The sequence below is a fragment of the Homo sapiens genome, chromosome 10 (assembly GCF_000001405.40).
Source record: "Homo sapiens chromosome 10, GRCh38.p14 Primary Assembly".
Taxonomy (NCBI): Eukaryota; Metazoa; Chordata; class Mammalia; order Primates; family Hominidae; genus Homo; species Homo sapiens.
Genome location: NC_000010.11, coordinates 59,196,849 through 59,222,760, shown reverse-complemented (window position 1 = coordinate 59,222,760; position 25,912 = coordinate 59,196,849). Strand labels below are relative to the sequence as shown.

General features: G+C 36.4%; 1 protein-coding gene across 6 annotated transcripts in view; it reads right to left on the bottom strand.

Moving 5' to 3' along the window:
* Window positions 1–25,912, bottom strand: part of PHYHIPL (phytanoyl-CoA 2-hydroxylase interacting protein like) — a 74,174-nt gene that overhangs the window by 25,010 nt on the left and 23,252 nt on the right. For 2 of the 6 annotated variants that reach the window (XM_017016783.3, XM_011540275.4), the window contains exon 2: window positions 15,917–16,007. The exons of 3 other annotated variants lie outside the window; for them this stretch is intronic. The gene's annotated coding sequence lies outside the window, so the exon portion shown is untranslated. Of the gene's footprint in view, window positions 1–15,916; window positions 16,008–22,057; window positions 22,220–25,912 lie in introns of those variants that run through there. One more of the 6 variants, XM_017016782.2, reaches the window with a different exon arrangement.

Below are 25,912 nucleotides of genomic sequence, written 5' to 3'. Positions count from 1 at the left end.
CTCTAGTAATCTTTAATGAATTTTTTTCTTTTGAAACCCCCCCCACTTTTCTGACATTCATTAGTGTCCAGATATATTCAAGTATTTTTGAGTAAATCCATACATACTGAAAAAGGTAATAATGTCCTAATTTTTATGTGATGATATTTTAGTATAAATAATCTCTAAATTACCTCATGCTTCTCTCTCAAATATGCTCTCCTCCTTTTTGTTTTGTTGTTTCTTTTAACTAAATCACTTTGCAGATCACATCTAATTTCCTGCCTTTAGGGTCTCCTTTAACCTTATAGCTTGCCACCCTGCTTGGTGTATTATTTCTTTCCACAGGTCTCTCATTTTTATTTTTAAAGAATATTTCGCTTTTATTACCTCTTTTCTATGCATCTAATCCTTAAGCCCCGCTTTCTGAATTATTTCTCTTACAGTTATACTTACAGCACCTCCTAGTTACCTGCATTTTTTACAGTTTTTTAATCTCATTAATAAAGATGGTTAAAAAAGCAAAGTTCCCCAATAACCATAGTATCCAAATGGCATTTCACCCCGATTTTGGATCTTAAAATCTCTAATTATTCTGTGATTATAATTCCTGGGCTTGTTTGAAATCCATATACAGTACTTCTTTATTAAGGGCATTCCAATTCATTTTTCAAGAAAGTTTTATGAGGTACTATTTTATTCTTCACCAATGATGAAACTACATTTATTGAACCAGCTACAAGGGTACTGAAACCTCCTGATACTAACACTTTCTCACAGCTTCTCATTACTCCAAGGGTTAGGAGTTAGAAATAGAGGACATGGAAATTTAACTGTCATAATATTAGCAAAATAGTTCTATATGGAATAATCTGACACCTAAATATTAACGAAAAGTTTTCCTCTCTGGCAAACTATGTGGTCAATAGCAAGGAATATTACCATCCTGGAACTTCAGACTCTGAAGCCCAAGACACTAATATCTGAAAGAATCTAAATGCAGTTAATTCACAATCCTCAGGGATTTTAGAGATTTGAGCTTTTATGAGAAGCCAGGAAAACTTGTTTATCTCTGTGGTGCTAATCCTTCACAATACAGCTCTAGATTTCCACAGTTCATAGAAGAAACACAAAATTCTGATTCCACTGACATGAGAAGCAGCACAAAATTAAGGCTTCACACTCCTATTTAAAAACTTATCTCTCTTAGCCATATCCAGTGTTAAATTCAAAGTTAAACTGTCTAATCAATTTTAAATGGATGTGATCATTGATGCTAAAGGTGAACCGAAGCACTAGTAAACAAGTAGCAAATGAAAAAGTGAAACTCACTGAGTACCTATTATGCAGTTAAATCATTCAAAATATATGTACATGGGCTAAAAAACAGTAAATAAAATGTTATTTTTAGTCATTGCTCTTAATAAAAGCCAAAACAGCAATGGCAATGATAAAATACAGCCACCTTGTTAAACATGTTTTAAAGATGAGGTAAATTTGTTTTTCACTTGCCTCACTAGTCAAAGAATATTAAAACTATCCAGCAAATCAAGTTGAAAAGGCCTTTAGCAGATGGTGACACAAAAAACATACTTTTTCTAAAGTTAAACAGAAATATGGAACAAATCAAACAATTATATGATTAAAAAAAGAAAGACTAGATGGTAATTTTAGACATTAGAGTCTAGTCCAGGCAAGTTTAGTCTAGTCTAGTCTGGGCAAATCAAGGCATAAAAGGTTTCTTAGTTAACCAAAATAGATAGCATTTATTTAAATACAGCATTGGATCAAAGCTGTTTAGTAATAGGAACATTTATTAAGCACTTATTTATGCCAGCTAGACAGTAATTTGAGTGTTTTACAATAATTTTTAATTTTTTAGTTATCATATTTATCAATTACTAATTACTACCATCCCCATTTTAACAGATAAGAAAATGAGGTACAAAGAGGTTATATGACTTGCCCAATGTCAAATAACTGATGTAAAAGAGAAGATTTTATTCTAAGAGGCCTGGCATTCAAGTACAGGTTCCTAACCACTGTACTACACCTGCCTTACCATAGTTGCTCTAGAACTATTTGTATTGTTTGGGGGCAAATCACTTAACTAATCTTCATTGTTCTGTATTTGTAAAATAATAGAACTGCTCTGCATTAGATTTTCCCTAAAGTCACTTCCAATTCCAAATGTAGGAAAACTTAAGGCTAGCACCTTTTTTCTCAAGTGCAATTTTCTTAAGCTTCTTGAATTTATTATTATTAGTTAGCAGTATTTTCCATTACCTCATGATTAAATTAAATATATATTTACATTCAAGAATTATTTTCTGGTAATATTTCCCTGCAAGAAGACAAAATGAGACACCAAGGTTTAGTGGAGTAGGAATAGAGAAGCTTGGTTTCTGGTCCAATATGTCTCACCGACATGTAACACAGGCTTACCTGTGTCACTCAGCTTCTCTTTAACTCAACTGCCAACTTTTTAAATTGAGGGAACTTGTCAATACCTCCCATTCTTTTTCATGGTGTTTTGTTTTTCTTGATTTGAAAAAACTTAAAGGATAAAAAACAGAATGGATCAACTTTAATTTATTTAATAGTTGACTATGCCTATCTTTTTATCATTTTATAGTATTAAATCCTCAACAAAGACACCCAGGAGTAAATAAAAATAAAACAGGAAAAGGGGCATACCTATTCACTTTGTTATTAGCAATTCAGCACAATAAATGGTGTGAAAGGAGACAGAAGCTACATTGAACTTAGGGTCTGAACTGGTTTTGCTGCTCCTTTACTATTATAGAACAAATACAAGTTGTTTGCATAATTCTATTTGTCTGCTTTTTCATGTACCTGTCCCTTTGTTATTTTTACATGACTTCAGTAGGGACCTGTATTTTGTGTTTAATACCATGTAGTTAACTAGAAACTCTGAGGAAACTATACATTTGAAGTGAAATTACTACATGATTCTAAACCTGCCTTAGGGAAAATTATATCTGTCCTTACTGATGTCAACTCAAAGTTGTTCCCTTTTTCTCTCTCTAATAATGATCCTTGTTCACCTAATGTACTGAGTAATCTTGAAAATTTTTCCATCTACAAGCAAATTCATGTAATTGACATATATAAAGGTACTTGCATAAAATAAAATAACATCAATTATCAAGTCTAAAACTTCTTTCTGCAAAAAGTGATCACTATTCATATCAAAATAAAAATAAATTCTTACTTTATCAACAAATATATCCAATTAGCATAATGTTGTGACTTACAAAAGCTATTATTGATACAACAATTTTGGGTATGAAATAAAGCAGCTTCATGAACTCTGCAAATAGAGACTAGTCAGTGAACCTCATTTTAATTTATTTATTCCTACCTGAGTAACTACAGACACTTTTATTATAGGAAACTTATTGATGGGTACTTCATTTTTATATACCATATCACAGAATATAAATATCAAACTACGTAAAGAATATCTTCCATGTGCAGAAACACTACAGCAATTTATTCCTAACTCTACTTCTTTGGCTTCCTACTTAATCACTTAAATAGCACTTTCTTATTTTTATGAATATATGCAGGACAATCCAAATATGATTATGAGGCATCAAAAAGTCTCTCAAAATACCTAGAATATTATTTTTCTGTGTGTGGCCAACATCAGCTAATTTCAAAGCAAACATATAATATGCTGAGGACAGATTCCACATCTCTCCAAAAAGAATAAATTGTGTACGCTTAAACCCAGGAGGCAGAGGTTGCAGTGAGCCGAGATTGTGCCACTGCTCTCCAGCCTGGGTAACAGAGTGGGACTCAGTCTCGAAAAAAATAAATAAAATAAAATAAAAATAAAAAAGAATAAATTGTGCACATAAAATCCATACTGCTACATTGTAATATGAGGTGGGTTATCATGAGATTAATGAAGCTTAATATTCAGGGCCCAACACATAATTTTTTATTTATAATTATGTATTCTTTTTTCTAAAGAGAGTCCCTCAAACTATATCAGACCAAGATCACTCAATATTTATAATTATGTATTCTTTTTTCTAAAGAGAGTCCCTCAAACTATATCAGACCAAGATCACTCAAAAATGTTTTTTAAATGAATATATGAATCCAGCCCTATTTTAACCTATTCTTTGAAGGTAATCTCAAGCCCAACCTCCCAAATGCCTTTCCTGATGACTATGGGGTCTACAGATAGCTCTTCTCTCAGAACTCTTATGGCACTCTATCAGTACATGTAAAGGCCACAGATTCTTCTATTCTACCCTATCATTCTACATTGTACAGACTTTAGAATCTGACAGGGTTTTGGGATCAAATATCTCTCCCACTTTTGGAGCTCTATGATCTAAAGAGATTACTTAAATTAGTAAAATTTATTTGTTCTCAAGTAATTCACCTTATAAATGAGGAGAATGATATCTTTTACAACAGGACGAGTGAATTGATCAGGAAGATAATGAAGCTTAAGCTTCGAGGACCCATCACTTGCACTTGTTCCTAGTACTTCATTTTGTATCCATAAGTTTGTATTGTTTTTCCCAAATATAGCATCCAAAGTTGTATAAACTTCAGGTACTATACAACCTGGATCCAGCCCTGTCTATAAGAAGAAAATATAATTATCCAGGCCCAAAATGTTCAAAACCAAAAACAGCTAGTTAGAACCCCCAAATCCTTAGCTCAGGGACTTGGATGACTCCGAGCAATGCCACTGGCAACTTTGGGTCTGATGTCAAGTATACGTATATTATTAACGTTAGAAATTTTTCTTTGGACGGTCAACTGGAAAGTAGCAATGAATGAATAGAGTATAAAAGTCTGATCTTAGTCCAAGGTGTATGCTGGCAGCATACCTGAATCCCTGGATATGAAAGACAAAGTGTTTTTTTCTGGTAAGCATCCTTAAAAAGAACTGTTTCTCAAAAAAGAAGGTAAGATTGAGAGAAGGCTATTACATCTACTTAGTAGGAAGTAATCTGCATTCAGTTTTCCTTATATTTGGTTATGAATCATCATAAATACATTAAAGTTATCCAAATTTGAGTTTTAGAATTGAGCAATAATTTATAAAATATAATTTATTATGGAATATATTTTATATATTTTCTTCACACTTGCCCTTTCATTGTGAAACACAATAAATTTATGCAAAAATATAAAAATGCAATATACAGTGGTAATATATGAATATTAGAGATATCAGAATACAGAGAAGCAGCTAAAACATTTCAAGTACAAATCTTTATTTGAAATACAATACTATAATTGTATATTATAGAGAAAAATGAGCAAGAGGTATATTTTTTCTGCACTAGAAATTCAAAAATTTGCATCTTAAAAATATATACATAATAGTTATTGACAAATTAGTCATTTTATTTTATTCCCATTTTTATCAAATATGCTTTTAAACACTAGAGGATCTATTGCATAGTAATGTTTTCTCTAAAATTGAGGCTCTATTTGTATTCATATCACTGCTTAAAAAATTGATCAGCACATTGAAGTCTATCTTCTTAAATATAAAGATCAGACCATTTTTCTCCACTTCAAATTCCCTTTACACTTGAAGACTAAAAAGTGTCTCTACTGCAAAATAAATACAGGACATAACATGTTTTTGTAAAAGGTAGTCTAGTATACTATCACTTAACACCTCAAGGTTATCAAAAGGCAAATCAGTGATCTCCATATGTGAAAATATAAGTTTGGGGGATTAGTATCTCACTCCAAGAATAGTAAAGTAAAGTATTACAAACTATTTTCTCAGATAGTTAGAAGTATGACTGACTTGTTCAACAGACATGCATTATTGTTGAATGTCTAAGTGCCAGAAGATTCAAAGATGAATCAATGAGACTATAGTTTGCGCTTTCAAGCTTACAATTTAGCAACATATATAAGCATGCATACATATGTAAATTTATAAAGCCCTTACTTCTATATCCCTTCAGAAAATCCATTTCTTTGCTTCCCTTCATAACCAAGCTTCTCCAAAGACCTGCCAAAGGCTATCTCCATTTCTTCACTTACTACACACTCTTAAACCCAGTCAAATCTAGTTTCTACCTCTACCACTCCATCACCAATAAAGTGCATAGTGGCAAATCCAATGGATACTTTCCAGCTCTCCTCTGCCTTTACCCCCGATGAGGTTTAGAACATGCTACCTAAAGTATGGCACCTTGACACTGGAAGAAATAGCAGAAGTAAGAAGGTCACATTGATCTTCTCCCACCTTACTCCGCTGAAGCAGTCCATGAAAAAATGCTCTAATTTTCCTCTGAAGTAGGTCATAAGACTCTTATTCCAGAGGATCCTCCCGATATCCAAAAGAAAGGAATGTTCTTATCTTTGAAGCCAAGAGTTACAAAGAAACTGAACAGGATCTAGATCAATAACCTCTTTCCTGACCAGTGCTGTCTTTCTAAACAAGCACTGAACTTTGTACAATAATGTTTCTCACAAGTGCTGAAATTCAGTGTGAGTGCCACTAGCCACATGAATCTACTGAGCACTTGAAAATAGGTAGCGTGACTAAGAACTAAATTTTAAACTTTATGTAATTTTAATTAAATAGCCATATGATCCTTGTGGCTAATGTACTGTAAATTCCTCTCTCTTCCCTATAAGTAATCTATGATCTTTTTTGCTGACAACTTCCAATTTTATATTTCATAATTTGAAATGTGTTCAACACCCCTACTTGGATGTCTCACAGATATTTCAAATTTAAAATATCTAAAATAGAACTCTTGATTTTCCTTTCCAATCTTTTCCTCTAACCTAGTATTTCTGTACTTCAGTAAATGGCATCAACGTAATGCCCAGATGCTGCAACCATAAATTTTGGACTTCACCAACTAATACAGATTAACTGATCTTTTAAAAATCCTTCAAAAATCTGTTTTTTTTTTTTCTATGAAGGCTGGTTGTCTGTCTTATAATGCTTTACCTCTAGTTTTTAAAAAGCTACTCCTTCCACCCTTTAGCCTCAGCTTAACTATTACTACTTAGAGAAGCCTTCTAGAATATTCACATATTTTAGTAAATTTGTCCCATTACTACTGACATTCTCCATAAATTCCTTATTTATTTCATTTACAGCAGTTCCATAATTTCTAGGTGTTTTTATCTATTTATTTATATCGTTATCTGTTTTTCCCACCAGAGTGTAAGATACATATGAATACAGGGGTCATGGCCGTCTTGTCGCAATTATTTCCATTGTGTCAAAAATAGCAAATATTTACTGAATAAATGAATGCTTAAGTAAAGGAACCAGTCTACTCCCTGACTTCAGAAATAGGACATTACTTCTATGTTTCTAAAAATACCACTTGAAGATCTGGTAAAATAAATTTTAGTTATTATTCATTTGATTCATAAAGTCTCATAATGAATTATCCAAATGTTTCAGTTGACTCTGAACTACCAAACTGCATGTTTTTCTTTTACTACTCAGGTGATAACCCATTAGAAGGCAATGATCTTTTCTGTAGATTCAATGTAGAAGTTAATAACTATCATTTAAAAAATACATATGACAGTACAATGTTTTGCCATCACATTATATGGGTAAATCCTGTCAACTCCATCCCCAAGTAATATGCTCTTTCAGGCACAGACTATAACAATGAGCAAGAATTTAACTTTCCACATAATTTTTAATGATTTTGTTTTATCATTCTGAAGACAATGCATAATATTTAAAAAGGCAAAGGAGTGTAATGTGAAAAGTATACTACTTACTTCAACACCCAGCCCTCAATTCTCCTCTCTACAAACATTCATCATCACTGTCAGTTTATCTGTATCCATCTAGAATGTTCTATGTATATATCCTTGTTATCTGCCCTGTCTAGACCTGGAATCAACCATTTCTTCAAAAATTCCTGGTTGTTTTTGGCAGAAAATAGCATTTCAATACCATCATCTGGGCAATAAGGATGCTAATTCCTATTGGGTTGATCTTTGTCTCTAAGCTTTTTCATTTGATAGAAGTAGGCATTTCATTGTTTTATTTTTAAGTAGAAAACTCATCATGAGTTCCACCAATACTTCTAATTCAAATTCAGTACTATAGGATTTTAATTTAACACCATCTTGTATTTATATTTCCTTTCTCCCATGACTGGTTCTCAAACGGAGCAGGAATGACAGAATTAGGATACTACTTATTTGCTTGTTTTATAAAATCCCACAATACACACATAACAGACTCAAAATAACACCATCAACATAACCGCCAATAATTATTACTGGAAACAGTTTTTAAAGTTTCTTTTTTCAGATCTTTTTCTGTAGGGTACATGTCACTAGGGATGTACAGTATAATTGCTGTGTTTTCAAATCACTTGGAATACTTCTTTTTTGTGTGATGATGTCACCAAACAGATACATTGTTTCATTTTACTTTAAATTTTAGGGATCTTTTTTTTGTGCTTTAATTATTTTACTGCAATCAAATTTATCAATCTTTCTTGTTATGGCTTTAGAGTTTTGTGTCATAACTAAGCATCTTCTGCATTCTAAGCATATATATTTTTAGATGTATATTCATGTTTTCCTTGTGCTTGTATGGTTTCACTAAATGTCTGAAACTATCTGTATGGAATTTATAGTATGGAATAGAAATTCATTTATCAATTTCAATTAAATTTTTTTTCTCTAGATGGCTATCCAGTAATCCCAACATCATTTATTGAATAATCCATCTTTCCCCCCATGGATCAGAAATATCACCCCACCATTTTAATTATTAAGATTCCAGAGGCATAGAAGGAGTTTCTAGTGGCAGAAGGGTCAATGAGAAAGGCTGAGTATCCACTGACAATGCCACTAGTGGTCGTACCCATAGTAACTAGTCCTGTGCAGAATTATAGCTATGCTTCATCCTTTGTTTTCTTCCCAATCTAGCTCCTCAAACTTTAACACTGATTGAGTCACTTAAAATCTTTCTGATATGTTGTAGTGGGTGTTTTTTGTTTTTTGTTTAAAATCAAGCTAGTCTTGGCTATTTTCAGCCAAGAACTCTAACTTACACAACATTATTTTTCTTCTACAATTCAATAGTGGGCATTCCCAAAATCTCAGCCCTTGGCTCTTTGCTGTACATTCTGTGGCTGGAGCTCATGTTCCTGATTATAATCACCAAAGTTTTGACTACTATCCCTAGTAACTGACTCCCATTACAAATCACTAGACATGAGTTGAGATCACCTTATTATTTTTACATTTTTCATTTCAGAGAGTAAATATACCCGTAGCTGGTTATCCTAACATATAAAGCTATCTTTTAAATATTATTTTTTTATAAATATTCTCAAGCTTTCAAAGACAATGGAGTGTTAAAGGCAATGCAGCAGAATGATTTGGTTAGGAAAAGGTAGGAAAAATGGTAGGAAATAAGGCTAGAGTATAAGATGGGGCAAAAATCAAAGAAATTTTTGTTTATATTAGAGTAAATACTTAACACAGACAAAAGGTAACCATTGAATGACATAATTGGATTTCTACATTAGAGGATCACTCTGGCAGCACTGAAGAAAGTGCATTGGAGAAAATGAGATTAGATTTTTTTTTTTAAGAAAGCCCTTTTATCCAAATATATTTACCAGCTCCTTATACATTCTAAATAGTCTTCTACAAATTATTAAGCAAAAGCCATATTTTGGAACCATATACAGAGTATGTCTGCCAATTAATTTATAAAATTTATAGTTATGAGCTGACAGACAATATGAATGTGACTTAACCAACTGTCACCTCGAAAATGAATTGGCAAATAAATATGGTTTCTAGTGAAGTCAAATAGAATCATTACATGAATTATACTTTATCATTAATTTATTATCTATGTTGTACAAATTGATAAGCCGATAAAATCCTGGGGTGACTGGGGTGACTATCATTAGTTATAAGAGGTCCCATAGCTTTCTGGGGATACACTTCAATTACAGTTTGGTTTTACCTGTATGGAAATGATAAATGAAAAACTTTAGACAAATTACATTTAACAGAGTTTAATTGAGCAATGATTCACAAATTGGGCAGACTCCCACCACTCTCTTCCCCAAACCAGAATAGGTTCAGAGCAGCGCTGGTGCTGCTGAGTGGTTGAAGAGGATTTATGGACAGAAAAAGGAAAGTGACATGCAGAAAATAAAAATGAGTTACAGAAACAGCTGGATTGGTTAACGGTTGACCATTTGCCTTATTTGAACACAGTTTGAATGGCTGTCCACCTAGGAGTGGTTGAAGTATGCCTGCTGGGATTGCCTGAGACTGGGCTACTTGTTACACAAGTGGGTTACAGTCTGTTTATACATGCAATGAGATTACAGTTCATTATGAATGGAGAAACCTTTAGGCCAAACTTAAAAATATGTAAGAAAGCAGCTTTAGGCTAAACTTAATTTAACAGAAACAAAATAAATAAGCTCTTCATCTGTTTTCTGTTGCTTATAACAGAATACCTGACACTGGGTAACTTATACAGAAAGAGAGGCTATTTCTTACAGATACGGAGGCTAAGAAGTACAAGGTTGAGGACAGCATCTCATGAGGACCTTGTTGCTGGTAGGGACTTTCTGCAGAGTCCTGCACCAGTGCAGGGCATCACATGGTGAGGGGGCTGAGCTTGCTAGTTCAAGTCTTCTCTTCTTCTTCTTATAAAGCTAACAGTCCCACTCCCAAAATAACCCATTAATCCATTAATCCATAAATGGATTAATCCATTCATGAGCGCAAAGCCCGCATGACCTAATCACCTCTTAAAAGTCCCTCCTCTCAATACTGCAACATTGGGGATTAAGTTCCAACATCAGTTTTAGAGGGGATAAACATTCAAACCATTGCATTCCTTCTCTGAGAAAGGAAATGTAAAAATCAGAAATATGAGTTTCACTTTAAGAAATGAATTCCTTTCATTAGCTTTTACTAAAGCCAAATTATAAACAAAATCACTTGACCTAAAAAGTACTTCAGTTTATTCAGATGCTGTGCTGTAAGGCAGCTAAATTTATGCTTAATGAACTTAAAAAAGGAACTATTTGTAATACCTTTTTTTTTTTTTTTTTTTTTTTTTTAGAGAGTCCGCCTATAATCCCAGGACTTTGGGACGCTGAGGCGGGTGGACCACCTCAGGTCAGGAATTCTAGACCAGCCTGACCAACATGGATAAACCCCATCTCTACTAAAAGCACAAAATTAGCTGGCTGTGGTGGCATGCACCTGTAATCTTAGCTACTCGGGAGGCTGAGGCAGGAGCATCACTTGAAACTGGGAGGCAGAGGATGCAGTGAGCCGAGATCATGCCATTGTACTCCAGCCTGGGCAACAAGAGTGAAACTCCATCTCAAACAAAACAAAACAAAAACAAAGACCCTTGTTCTGTCACTCAGGCTGAAGTGCAATGGCCTGATCACAGCTCACTATTGCCTCAAAGTCCTGGGCTCAAGTGATCCTCCTGCCTCATCTCCTGAGTGGCTAGGACTACAGGTACACAGCAACATGCTCAGCTAATTCAAAATAATTTTTTTTTTAGACATGGGGGTCTCACTATGTTCCCCAGGCTGGTCTCAAATTCTTGGCCTCAAGTGATGCTCCCACCTCGGCCTCCCAAAGCACAGGGATTACAGGCAGGCATGAGCCACCATATCAGGCCTTATTTGTGATATTTACTTTTTTTTAATTATACTTTAAGTTCTGAGATACATGTGCAGAATGTGCAGGTTTGTTACATAGGTATACACTGGCCACACCCATCAACCCATCATTACATTAGGAATTTCTCCTAATGCTATCCCTCTCCTAGCACCCCCATCCCCAAACAGGCCCTGGTGTGTGATGTTCCCCTCCCTGTGTCTATGTGTTCTCACTGTTCAACTCCCACTTACAAGTGAGAACATGTGGTGTTTGGTTTTCTGTTCCTGTGTTAGTTTGCTGAGAATGATGGTTTCCAGTTTCACTCAAGTCCCTGCAAAGGACGTGAACTGTTCCTTTTTTATGGCCACATAGTATTCCATGGTGTATGTGCCACATTTTCTTTATCCAGTCTATCATTGATGAGCATTTGGGTCGGTTCCAACTCTTTGCTATTGTGAACAGTGCTACAATAAGCATATGTGTGCACATGTATTTATAGTAGAATGATTTATAATCCTTTGAGTATACACCCAATAATGGGATTGCTGGGTTAAATGGTATTTCTGGTTCTAGATCCTTGAGGAATCACCACACTGTCTTCCACAATGGTTGAACTAATTTACACTCCCACCAACAGTGTAAAAGCGTTCCTATTTCTGCACATCCTCTCCAGCATCTGATGTTTCCTGACTTTTTAATGATCGCCATTCTAACTGGCTTGAGATGGTATCTCATTGTGGTTTTGATTTGCATTTCTCTAATGACCAGTGATGATGAGCTTTTTTTCATCTGTTTGTTGGCTGCATAAATGTCTTTTTTTGAAAAGTGTCTGTTTACATCCTTTGCCCACTTTTTGATGGAGTTGTTTTTTTCTTGTAAATTTGTTTGAGTTCTTTGTAGATTCTGGATATTAGCCCTTTGTCAGATGGATAGAGCGCAAAATTTTTCTCTCATTCTGTAGGTTGCCTGTTCACTCTGATGATAGTTTCTTTTGCTGTGCAGAAGCTCTTTAGTTTAATTAGATCCCATTTGTCAATTTTGGCTTTTGTTGCCATTGCTTTTGGTGTTTTAGACATGAAGTCCTTGCCCATGCCTGTGTCCTGAATGGTATTGCCTAGGTTTCTTTCTAGAGTTTTCATGGTTTTAGGTCTTACATTTAAGTCTTTAATCCATCTTGAGTTAATTTTTGTATATTTTTGTATAAGGTGTAAGGAAGGGGTCCAGTTTCAGTTTTCTGTATATGGCTAGCCAGTTTTACCAACACCATTTATTAAATAGGGAATCCTTTCCCCATTGCTTGTTTTTGTCAGGTTTGTCAAAGATTAGATGGTTGCAGATGTGTGGTGTTATTTCTGAGGCATCTGTTCTGTTCCACTGGTCTACATATCTGTTTTGGTACCAGTACCATGCTGTTTTGGTTACTGTAGCCTTGTAGTATAGTTTGAAGTCAGGTAGTGTGATGCCTCCAATTTGCCAGTCTGTGTCTTTTAATTGGAGCATTTAGCCCATTTACATTTAAGGTTAATATTGTTATGTGTGAATTTGATCCTGTCTTTGTGATGTTAGCTGGTTATTTTGCCTGTTAGTTGATGCAGTTTCTTCATAGCATCGATGGTCTTTACAATTTGGCATGTTTTTGCAGTGGCTGGTACCGGTTGCTCCCTTCCATGTTTAGTGCTTCCTTCAGAAGCTTTTGTAAGGCAGGCCTAGTGGTGACAAAATCTCTCAGCATTTGCTTCTCTGTAAAGAATTTTATTTCTCCTTCACTTATGAAGCTTAATTTGGCTGGATATGAAATTCTGGATTGAAAATTCTTTTCTTTAAGAATGTTGAATATTGGCCTCCACTCTCTTCTGGTTTGTAGAGTTTCTGCTGAGAGATCAGCTGTTAGTCTGATGGGCTTCCCTTTGTGGGTAACCCAACCTTTCTCTCTGGCTGCCCTTAACATTTTTTCCTTCATTTCAACTTTGGTGAATCTGACAATTATGTGTCTTGGAGTTGCTCTTCTCGAGGAGTATCTCTGTGGCGTTCTCTGTATTTCCTGAATTTGAATATTGGCCTGCCTTGCTAGATTGGGGAAGTTCTCCATGGATAATATCCTGAAGAGTGTTTTCCAACTTGGTTCCATTCTCCCTGTCACTTTCAGGTACACCAATCAAATGTAGGTTTGGTCTTTTCACATAGTCCCATATTTCTTGGAGGGTTTGTTTGTTCCTTTTCGTTCTTTTTTCTCTAATCTTGTCTTCATGCTTTATTTCATTAAGTTGATCTTCAATCTCTGATATCTTTTCTTCTGCTTGATCAATTCGGCTATTGATACTTGTGTATGCTTCACAAAGTTCTTGTGCTGTGTTTTTCAGATCCATCAGGTCATTTCTGTTCTTCTCTAAACTGGTTATTCTAGTTAGCAATTCCTCTAACCTTTTTTCAAGGTTCTTAGCTTCCTTGCATTGGATTAGAACACGCTCCTTTAGCTCAAAGGAGTTTGTTATTACCCACCTTCTGAAGCCTACTTCTGTCAATTTGTCAAACTCATGCTCTGTCCAGTTTTGTTCCCTTGCTGGCAAGGAGTTGTGATCCTTTGGAGGAGAAGAGGTGTTCTGGTTTTTGGAACTTTCAGCCTTTTTGCGCTGGTTTTTCCTCATCTTCATGGATTTATCTACCTTTGGTCCTTGATATTGGTGACCTTCAGATGAGGTTTCTGTGTGGACGTCCTTTTTGTTGAAGTTGACGCTATTCCTTTCTGTTTGTTAGTTTTCCTTCTAACGTTCAGTCTCCGCAGCTGCAGGTCTGCTCGAGTTTGCTGGAGGTCCACTCCAGATCCTGTTTGCCTGGGTATTACCAGCAGAGGCTGCAGAACAGCAAAGATTGCTGCCTGTTCCTTCCTCTAGAAGCTTCCTCCCAGAAGGGCATCCGCCAGATGCCAGCCGGAGCTCTCCTATATGAAATGTCTGTTGACCCCTGCTGGGAGGTGTCTCCCAGTCAGGAGGCATGGGGGTCAGGGACCCACTTGAGGAGGCAGTCTGTCCCTTAGCAGAGCTCGAGTGCTGTGCTGGGAGATCCACTTCTCTCTTCAGAGTTGGCAGGCAGGAACATTTAAGTCTATCAAAGCTGCGCCGACAGCCGTCCCTTCCCCCAGGTGCTCTGCCCCAGGCAGATGGGAGTTTTACCTATAAGCCCCTGACTGGGGCTGCTGCCCTTTTTTTTTTTTTTTTGAGACAGAGTCTTGCTCTCTCACCCAGGCTGGAGTGCAGTGGTGCATCTCGGCTCACTGCAAGCTCCGCCTCCCAGATGTCACACCATTCTCCTGCCTCAGCCTCCCAAGTAGCTGGGACTACAGGCGCCCACCACCACGCCCAGCTAATTTTTTGTATTTTTAGTAGAGACAGGGTTTCACTGTGTTAGCCAGGATGGTCTCGATCTGCTGACCTCATGATCCGCTGGCCTTGGCCTCCCAAAGTGCTGGGATTACAGGTGTGAGCCACCGTGCCTGGCCGCTGCTGCCTTTCTTTCAGAGATTCCCTGCCTAGAGAGGAGGAATCTAGAGAGGTAGTCTGGCTACAGCGACTTTGCTGAGCTGCGGTGGGCTCTGCCCAGTTTGAACTTCCTGGTGGCTTTGTTTACACTGTGAGGGCCCTGGTGGCAGAGACACCTGAGGGAATCTCCTGGTTTGCGGGTTGCGAAGACTGTGGGAAAAGTGTAGTATGGGGGCCGGAGTGCACTGGTCCTCATGGCACAGTCCCTCATGGCTTCCTTTGGCTAGGGGAGGGAGTTGCCTGACCCCTTGCGCTTCCCAGGTGAGGCAACGCCCCACCCTGCTTTGGCTGGCCCTCTGTTGGCTGCACCCACTGTCTAACCAGTCCCAATGAGATGAGCTGGGTATCTCAGTTGGAAATGCAGAAATCACCCACCTTCTGTGTTGATCTCACTGGGAGCTGCAGACTGGAGCTGTTCCTATGCTGCCATCTTGCCAGCCACCTCTGTGATATTCTTAAGTAATGTATACAGCTAAGGTACCTTACTTAAAATGTACCTTACATTAGCTATGTACCTTACTTAAGATTCTGCTTTAACTGAAAGATCTCTGTTGTGTTAGCCTATCATTCATTGAGAAAAGGGCCCTCTTACTGTATTGTTTTGCTAAAGAAGCCCATCTTTTCCTATTTGTAATGTTAAGTATTATGTTAATGAAGCATGTCACACTTTCCATAATTTGGGGAAGTCAAAAACATGACTAGTGCAGGAGATGAAGTGCACTTACAGTTAATCACTTAAAATGTAATAACTTGCCATGAACCAATGGTGCTTTTATCCTTTTCTTGTCTGTTTGGATGTAAGTTCTTCAAAAACAACTAAAAAATAAAAAAGAAATGCATAACAGCTTTTAGTTATGTACTTTTACAATTTTCTGTCTCCCTTATGTACCAATATACAAATTTGAATTAAATAAATGTGCTTCTAAATGTTTCTGCGTCTAAACACAACATGAGTTGTATTCACTGAGTTTGCTTGGTTTGTTGGACTTCCAGAACTAGGCAATTTCCAGAATTTCCAGAATTTCTAGAATTTCCAGAATTTCTAGCTGGCTACTGTAAAAACAGACTCAGTTAGACTACGTTGGGTTACACCATTAAGAGTCAGTTTGCAGAGATCCAGAGATTAGAAAGACCTTTGAAGCAGCGATGCCAATCACGAGAACTCCAAATAATAGGAAGGGAGAGATAATCAAGACAGATAGAGACCTCACAGCCTACAAATGGCAGAAGTCCCATTCAGTAGACAAAGTATGACACGCAGTATAAGTAGTCTAACAAAAGGCAATGGGAAGGAGATCAGGCTATTAGGTTATTGTTTGTATCAAGGAGGCTTACCAGCAAGTTGTACAGTTCTACCCATGAGAAACCATGAAAGGCAAAATCCTGGTATTCAAAATAGAACCTTAGGCTGGAGGGACTAGGATTTGGGCAAGAAAATAAGGGATAGATTCATTTATAGATGAAAACACCAGGATTCAATTGCTAGAGATAGATATAAGAAGGCGCTTGATCAAAGAAGTTAAAATAAGAGTTTAATTACTAGAATTAATGTACTAGGACAAAGTAATGCCAAGAATTACTCAGTGCTAAGGCCATGAAATCCTGACCTTAAGTTCCTTACAGTATCTGTTCTCAGATGCAGAATTATTCCCAGTGACCGAAGACAGGCTAAACTTACAAGTAGTATTAAGGAATTTATATTACGAAAGCCAGAAAAATTATCAGGCTAAGACTTATGGCTTAATACTAATTCAAACCCTATTGTTGTTGCTGCCACCCCAGAAGTCAAGCTTTTTCTGCCTTTTTCTGCCTGAAAAATATTAGCTGAAGTAGCCATGAGGGACTGTGCCATGAGGACCAGTGTACTCCGGCCCACATACTACTGAAAAGCTTTTTCTGCTTTTTCTGCCTGAAAAATATTAGCTGAAGTAGGATGATGAACATAGGTTACACATAAAACTCTGTAATACTCTAGCATATTGGTAACTAGCATGTTATATCATTCTTTTACCAGGGCACATGAAATAAATACAAGAGAAAAATACTCACAAATATGCTTTACATGATGAGTTCACAAAATAGGTGACTACATTAAGAACTTTAAAGAATAAAAACAATTATTAATAATGTGAACAATTAGGAAATCTCATGGTTGGTGAAAGAAAAACATGGTTGTAATTTTCTTTTAAAGAGAAAATGCTGTGGAAAACAGATGAATCAACTACTTCCCTTTTGGTCCCATGGCCAACCCACACATAATCAATCTCACGTTCATGATCTAGAATGTCACATGAGAAAAAGCTGTTACATCAGGATAACATGAATACAGTGTCCACAAGGAACTGGGATAATTTTATCTTATTTTAGTGAAACTTTTAAGTATATTCCCTTGATGTTCTTTTAAAAACTTTATGAGGCCAGGAGCAGTGGCTCATGCCTGTAATCCCAGCACTTTGGGAGGCCAAGGCAGGCAGATCACCTGAGGTCAGGAGTTCGAGGCCAACCTGGCCAACATGGCAAAACCCTGTTTCTACTAAAAATACAAAATTAGGTGATAGGTGCCTGTAATCCCAGCCACTTGGGAGGCTGGGGCAGGAGAATCGCTTGAATCCAGGAGGTGGAGGTTGCAGTGAGCCAAGATCACACCACTGCACTCCAGCCAGAGCAATAAGAGCGAAAATTGTCTCAAAAAAAAAAAAAAAAAAACTTTATGAGACTCCTTTCTACTGATCCTGTCTAAATGAGCACCTGGTCCTAATAAATATTTGTTGAGTGAATGATAAACACATGAATAAACTGACATATGGAAGCATAAAAATATAAAGATATGACTAAAAGCATAGTGGAGATGGCACTCCCTACCAATGTTGGCAATAAGTAATATGTTAAGAAAAAAAAATCTCAGATTACAGCCAATGTTAAAAGGTCACACTTAAAATAAAAAGGACATACACACAAAAGGGAACAAAATCAACATAAACTGAGAATCTGGTCCTTGAGTTATCCTAGTTGACATGGGAATGAAACCAAACTAAATTTGCACTAATCCAGGACTCTGAAATTCTCCTCCTCTTTCTTTTTAAAATAATTCTAGTTCGACTGACAGGAGAAATTTAAAGCTCCCACAAAAAAGGGTTCTGTTAAAAGTCATCATACACAGACTCATTACATGATAAAATATAACTTTATTTAACTTGTAATCACTTAGACTGTTTAGAATGGTTATGAACTGTCACCTCAATACCATCTACCCTAATAGTAACACAGAATTTAAATGGCAGCAGTCATCAATTTTCATAATATTTTAGTGTTAACTTAAGGTCTAGTCTCCTAGCAGGATAGAAGATTTTAAATTTAATATTTCTACATGCTGAAAACATACTTTATACTTTGTTTGTTTTACTTATAATAGTTCTTTATATAAAGTTTTCAGAAACTTGGTTTATTGGCCTAAACCCTACATACATTCTATAAATCCTTTATATTCTAAATCTACATAAAGACTTCCCATGGAATTTGATCTTGATGTAAATTCCCGTAACAACATGTAATCCTTTAGGCTTCTTTTACTCCCTTTCTAGTAAACGGAAAATAACCCTTATACATGCATCTAAATGAGCAATTTACCATTATCTATGGCCTTTTTTAAAAAAATTACATGTTAAGTTCTAGGGTACATGTGCACAACGTGCTGGTTTCCTACATATGTATGCATGTGCCATGTTGGTGTGCTGCACCCATTAACTCACCATTTACATGAGGTATTTCTCCCAATGCTATCCCTCCTCCCTCCCCCCACCCCACGACAGGCCCTGGTGTGTGATGTTCCCCACCCTGTGTCCAAGTGTTCTCATTGTTCAATTCCCACTTATGAGTGAGAACATGTGGTGTTTGGCTTTCTGTCCTTGCGATAGTTTGCTCAGAATGATGGTTTCCAGCTTCATCCATGTCCCTACAAAGGACATGAACTCATCATTTTTTATGGCTGCATAGTATTCCATGGTGTATATGTGCCACATTTTCTTAATCCAGTCTATCATTGATGGACATTTGGGTTGGTTCCAAGTCTTTGCTATTGTGAATACTGCCACAATAAACATACGTGTGCGTGTGTCTTTAAAGTAGCATGATTTATAATCCTTTGGGTATATACCCAGTAATGGGATGGCTGGGTCAAATGGTATTTCTAGTTCTAGATCCTTGAGGAATCGCCACACTGTCTCCCACAATGGTTGAACTAGTTTACAGTCCCAGCAACAGTGTAAAAGTGTTCCTATTTCTCCACATCCTCTCCAGCACCTGTTGTTTCCTGGCTTTTTAATGATCACCATTCTAACTGGTGTGAGATGGTATCTCATTGTGGTTTTGATTTGCATTTCTCTGATGGCCAGTGATGATGAGCATTTTTTCATGTGTCTGTTGGCTGCATAAATGCCTTCTTTTGAGAAGTGTCTGTTCATATCCATTGCCCACCTTCTGATGGGGTTGTTTGATTTTTTTCTTGTAAATTTGTTTAGTTCTTTGTAGATTCTGGGTATTAGCCCTTGTCAGATGGGTAGATTGCAATCTATGGCCTTTTTAGTAATCACTATATTCTGCAGAAGTTATGGGTGCTGCAGTTTACGACCTTCTAAATTATTATGTCTACATAGTAGGTTTTAAACCCTAAGTAAAAAATATATTAATAAAACAGTTTGAAAAATCATGTCTAAGGTACTTATTGATTTTATTTTGTAGAATGATATTAGTTAAGAGCATGAGCTTCAGAAATGGACAAACTGGTTCAAATCCTGACTCTGCTGTTTAATAGCTATATGAAATTAGACAGGTAATTTAACCTCAATAATCCCACATATTCACAACTGGAAAACAGAAAGTTTGAATTAAATAGTTTTGAAGGCACTTCCTAGGCCTAACATTCTGTTTCCTTAATTCTGGTTATAAAATGTAATACTATTTAAGCACTCAAAGCTGTATAAGCACACCAAAATGGTATAAAAGTGGTATCATTCAGAATAAGGAAGCACAGACACACATATCTAAATTACCCAAGTCATTCAGCAAAAGTTATTTGAGGTTTAATTATCTGAACAATAATTGTTGAAATTCTCCTCCCAACCATTCATGTGAAGACAATGTTACTCTAATGCTTCAAATTTTTCCTTGGCTAATCATGTAAAAAAGTTGACATGGAATAACTTTTTATATTTTTAAATTTTATTAAAACATTTTTATTTTAGATTCTGGGGTACATGTGTTTGTTACATGGATAATATATGCATAACGGTGGGGGATGGGCTTCTAGTGTACCCTATTACTGAAATATTAGACATTGTACCCGGTGGGTAATTTTTCAACCCCCACTCCTTTGGGATAATATTTTAAACTAGTCCTTCAAGACCTGGCATATTTTCATCTCTAACATAATCTCATCTAACTCTCAATCTTACCCTAACCCCAGTCACTACTAAGCCTTCGTTGGAGTGATTCCTTATACCTGGTCTATTACTGCCTATGTAATCTTTCACTCACTGTTTACTACTATCTCCCAATAGCTCATATATTTTCTCAACTTTTCCTTCCTAACTTCTATTTATCCTTCAAATTCTTTTGCTTTACTCTTATGACCCCTAACTCTACCACAAGTCAGTTAGGAGAACTTCCTATATATTTCTCTGATAGATTATTTAAAAATAAATGATAAACCTCTAATCTTCAAGTAAGGTTTCAAATATATTTATAACTTTAAAAATATCAAGGCCCAGATTCACCTGTAATATTTTAATTCATAATTATGATAAATCATTAGTAAGCATTTTATTTTAATTCCAAATTTCATTATTCAATGGCTGAAACTAGAATTAGGAAGGATTCATTACACTCTGATTACTCAAAATCATCATACCACATTAGGATTGGCCCAAGAACTGACAGCCTCTAACAAAATGAGAAAGCAAATATTGAAGAGATCTTGAACTCAGCTCTGCACCAAGCGGACCTAACAGACATCTACAGAACTCTCCACCCCAAATCAACAGAATATACATTCTTCTCAGCACCACATCACACCTATTCCAAAATTGACCACATAGTTGGAAGTAAAGCTCTCTTCAGCAAATGTAAAATAACAGAAATTATAACAAATTGTCTCTCAGACCACAGTGCAATCAAACTAGAACTCAGGATTAAGAAACTCACTCAAAACCACTCAACTACATGGAAAACGAACAACCTGTTCCTGAATGACTACCGGGTACATAACAAAATGAAGGCAGAAATAAAGATGTTCTTTGAAACCAATGAGAACAAAGACACAACATACCAGAATCTCTGGGACACATTCAAAGCATTGTGTAGAGGGAAATTTATAGCACTAAATGCCCACAAGAGAAAGCAGGAAAGATCTAAAATTGACATCCTAACATCACAATTAAAAGAACTAGAGAAGCAAGAGCAAACACATTCAAAAGCTAGCAGAAGCCAAGAAATAACTGAGATCAGAGCAGAACTGAAGGAGATAGAGACACAAAAAACCCTTCGAAATATCAATGAATCCAGGAGCTGGTTTTTTGAAAAGATCAACAAAATGGATAGACCGCTAGCAAGACTAATAAAGAAGAAAAGAGAGAAGAATCAAATAGACACAATAAAAAATGATAAAGGGGATATCACTGCCGATCCCACAGAAATACAAACTACCATCAGAGAATACTATGAACATCTCTATGCAAATAAACTCGAAAATCTAGGAGAAATGGATAAATTCTTCGACACATACACCCTCCGAAGACTAAACCAGGAAGAAGTTGAATGGCTAAATAGACCAATAACAGGCTCTGAAATTGAGGCAGTAAATAATAGCTTACCAACCAAAAAAAGTCCAGGACCAGATGGATTCACAGCCGAATTCTACCAGAGGTACAAGGAGGAGCTGGTACCATTCCTTCTGAAACTATTCCGATCAGTAGAAAAAGGGGGAATCCTCCCTAACTCATTTTATGAGGCCAGCACCATCCTGATACCAAAGCCTGGCAGAGACAAAATCAAAAAAGAGAATTTCAGACCAATATCCCTGATGAACGTCGATGCAAAAATCCAAAATAAAATCCTGGCAAACCAAATCCAGCAGCACATCAAAAAGCTTATCCACCACAATGAAGTTGGCTTCATCCCTGGGATGCAAGGCTGGTTTAACATACGCAAATCAATAAAAGTAATCCAGCATATAAACAGGACCAAAGATAAAAACCACATGATTATCTCAATAGATGCAGAAAAGGCCTTTGACAAAATTCAACAGCGCTTCATGCTAAAAACTCTCAATATATTAGATATTGATGGGATGTATCTCAAAATGATAAGAGTTGTTTATGACAAACTCACAGCCAATATCATACTGAATGGACAAAAACTGGAAGCATTCCCTTTGAAAACTGGCACAAGACAGGGATGCCCTCTCTCACCACTCCTATTCAACATAATGTTGGAAGTTCTGGCCAGGGCAATCAGGCAAGAGAAAGAAATAAAGGGTATTCAATTAGGAAAAGAGGAAGTCAAATTGACCCTGTTTGCAGATGACATGATTGTACATCTAGAAAACCCCATCGTCTCAGCCCAAAATCTTCTTATGCTGATAAGCAACTTCAGCAAAGCCTCAGGATACAAAATCAAGGTGCAAAAATCACAAGCATTCTTATACACCAATAACAGACAAACAGAGAGCCAAATCATGAGTGAAATTCCATTCACAATTGCTTCAAAGAGAAGAAAATACCTAGGAATCCAACTTACAAGGGATGTGAAGGACCTCTTCAAGGAGAACTACAAACCACTGCTCAAAGAAATAAAAGAGGATACAAACAAACGGAAGAACATTCCATGCTCATGGATAGGAAGAATCAATATCGTGAAAATGGCCATACTGCCCAAGGTAATTTATAGATTCAATGCCATTTCCATCAAGCTACCAACGACTTTCTTCACAGAATTGGAAAAAACTACTTTAAAGTTCATATGGAACCAAAAAAGAGCCCTCATTGCCAAGACAATCCTAAGCCAAAGAACAAAGCTGGAGGCATCACGCTACCTGACTTCAAACTATACTACAAGGCTACGGTAACAAAAACAGCAAGGTACTGGCACCAAAACAGAGATAGAGACCAATGGAACAGAACAGAGGCCTCAGAAATAATACCACACATCTACAACCATCTGATCTTTGACAAACCTGACAAAAACAAGAAATGGGGAAAGGATTCCCTATTTAATAAATGGTGCTGGGAAAACTGGCTAGCCATATGTAGAAAGCTGAAACTGGATCCCTTCCTTATATCTTATATAAAAATTAGTTCAAGATGGATTAAAGACTTAAATGTTAGACCTAAAACCATAAAAACCCTAGAAGAAAACCTAGGCAATACCATTCAGGACATAGGCATGGGCAAGGACTTCATGTCTAAAACACCAAAAGCAATGGCAATAAAAGCCAAAATTGACAAATGGGATCTAATTAAACTAAAGAGCTTCTGCACAGCAAAAGAAACTACCATCAGAGTGAACAGGCAACGTACAGAATGGGAGAAAATTTTCGCAATCTACTCATCTGACAAAGGGCTAATATCTAGAATCTACAAAGAACTCAAACAAATTTACAAGAAAAAAATCAAACAAACCCATCAAAAAGTGGGCAAAGGATATGAACAGACACTTCTCAAAAGAAGGCATTTATGCAGCCAACAGACACATGAAAAAACTCTCATCATCACTGGTCATCAGAGAAATGCAAATCAAAACCACAATGAGATACCATCTCACACCAGTTAGAATGGCGATCATTAAAAAGTCAGGAAACAATAGGTGCTGGAGAGGATGTGGAGAAATAGGAACACTTTTACACTGTTAGTGGGACTGTAAACTAGTTCAACCATTGTGGGAGACAGTGTGGCGATTCCTCAAGGATCTAGAACTAGAAATACCATTTGACCCAGCCATCCCATTACTGGGTATATACCCAAAGGATTATAAATCATGCTACTATAAAGACACATGCACATGTATGTTCAGTGCGGCACTATTCACAATAGCAAAGACTTGGAACCAACCCAAATGTCCATCAATGATAGAGTGGATTAAAAAAAATGTGGCACATATACACCATGGAATACTATGCAGCCATAAAAAATGATGAGTTCATGTCCTTTGTAGGGACATGGATGAAGCTGGAAACCATCATTCTCAGAAAACTATCGCAAGGACAAAAAAACCAAACACCGCATGTTCTCACTCATAGGTGGGAATTGAACAATGAGAACACTTGGACACAGGAAGGGGAACATCACTCACTGGGCCTGTCATGGGGTGGGGGTAGGGGGGAGGGATAGCATTAGGAGATATACGTAATGTAAATGATGAGTTAACGGGTGCAGCACACCAACATGGCACATGTATACATATGTAAGAAACCAGCACGTTGTGCACGTGTACCCTAGAACTTAAAGTATAATAATAATAAAAAAAGATTACTGCTTTAGAAATACTTAAAAAAAATAAAGAGATCTAAGTTCATCTTCCTGTGCCCATTCTATCTCTGTGCTCCATACCACAAGAGGACATAAATGCAAATCAAGCCTCAAGCACAACCCTGAGTAGCTGGCAATAAAAACACACAAATGAAACTTCATTATTTGACCTAGGTTAAAATAAAAAGTAATGAATATAAATAATATGTAAGAGGAGCACAAAATAGTTTGGAGATAAGGTAGATGTCAATGAAAACAGGTAGCAACATTTTAAGACCAAATGTAAAGGAAAGTAGGCCCTGGAATTGTTGGTAATTGTAACCAACATACACAATCCTAAATAAGTAAAAGTAAAGTGTTGACTCAAAGACAATAAATATGGTAGCACAGCCAGAATAGAAGAAGATGGTTATAAATGTTAAAGAAGAGTAAAAGCAGGGAATGCTGGCCCTGGCACAAAGGTACAGACATGCATTATACATGGAAAAGCAGTTCACTTTGAACTTAGTGAAATTTTGGAAAGAAAACTCACAAAATGTAGGAAAAAAAAAGTAGAGCTTACTAGTCAGCCAGGTGAAGTTTTGCACAACAGGGTAACAGATGCCAAAACCAAATGACCCTAAAAAGAGGTTCATGAAAGTCCATATATATGTTGCATTTGAATTAAGGTTTAAGGTTTCTTAACAGGGAAGACAGGTACTGAAAACTTATTCTCAAAAGATTATTTTCAGAGAAAGAATAAGATGGGACTGGAGGAACAGAAGATTGGTGATGGCCAGATCATAAAGGAAATTTTGTTACTCAGTTATAAAGTTATAAGATGTAAAATAAGATCAGACCACTGAGGAGATAGAATTCAAGGGATTTTTATCTTAATATTTTATGTGAAGAATGCCCCTGAAGGTCAATGCCTGAGAAACTGGGGAGGATAATGAGAACATCTTTTGGAAAACAGGACTATCATAGGTAGCAGTGAATAGCAACATGCTTCTAAATTTGTGGTGTTGTTTTAGCTCCTTGATGAGCACCTAGATTGAGATTTCATATACATAACTAAAAATTATCTTGAACTGTTTACCTCCAGAGCCCAGGGAATTCATCTAAATTGCTATATACAACATCACGTTAAAATACGCATTTAAGAAATCTTTTTGACAATAAAGAGTATATAATTGTGTAATGAAATCCATCTTTGAATACATT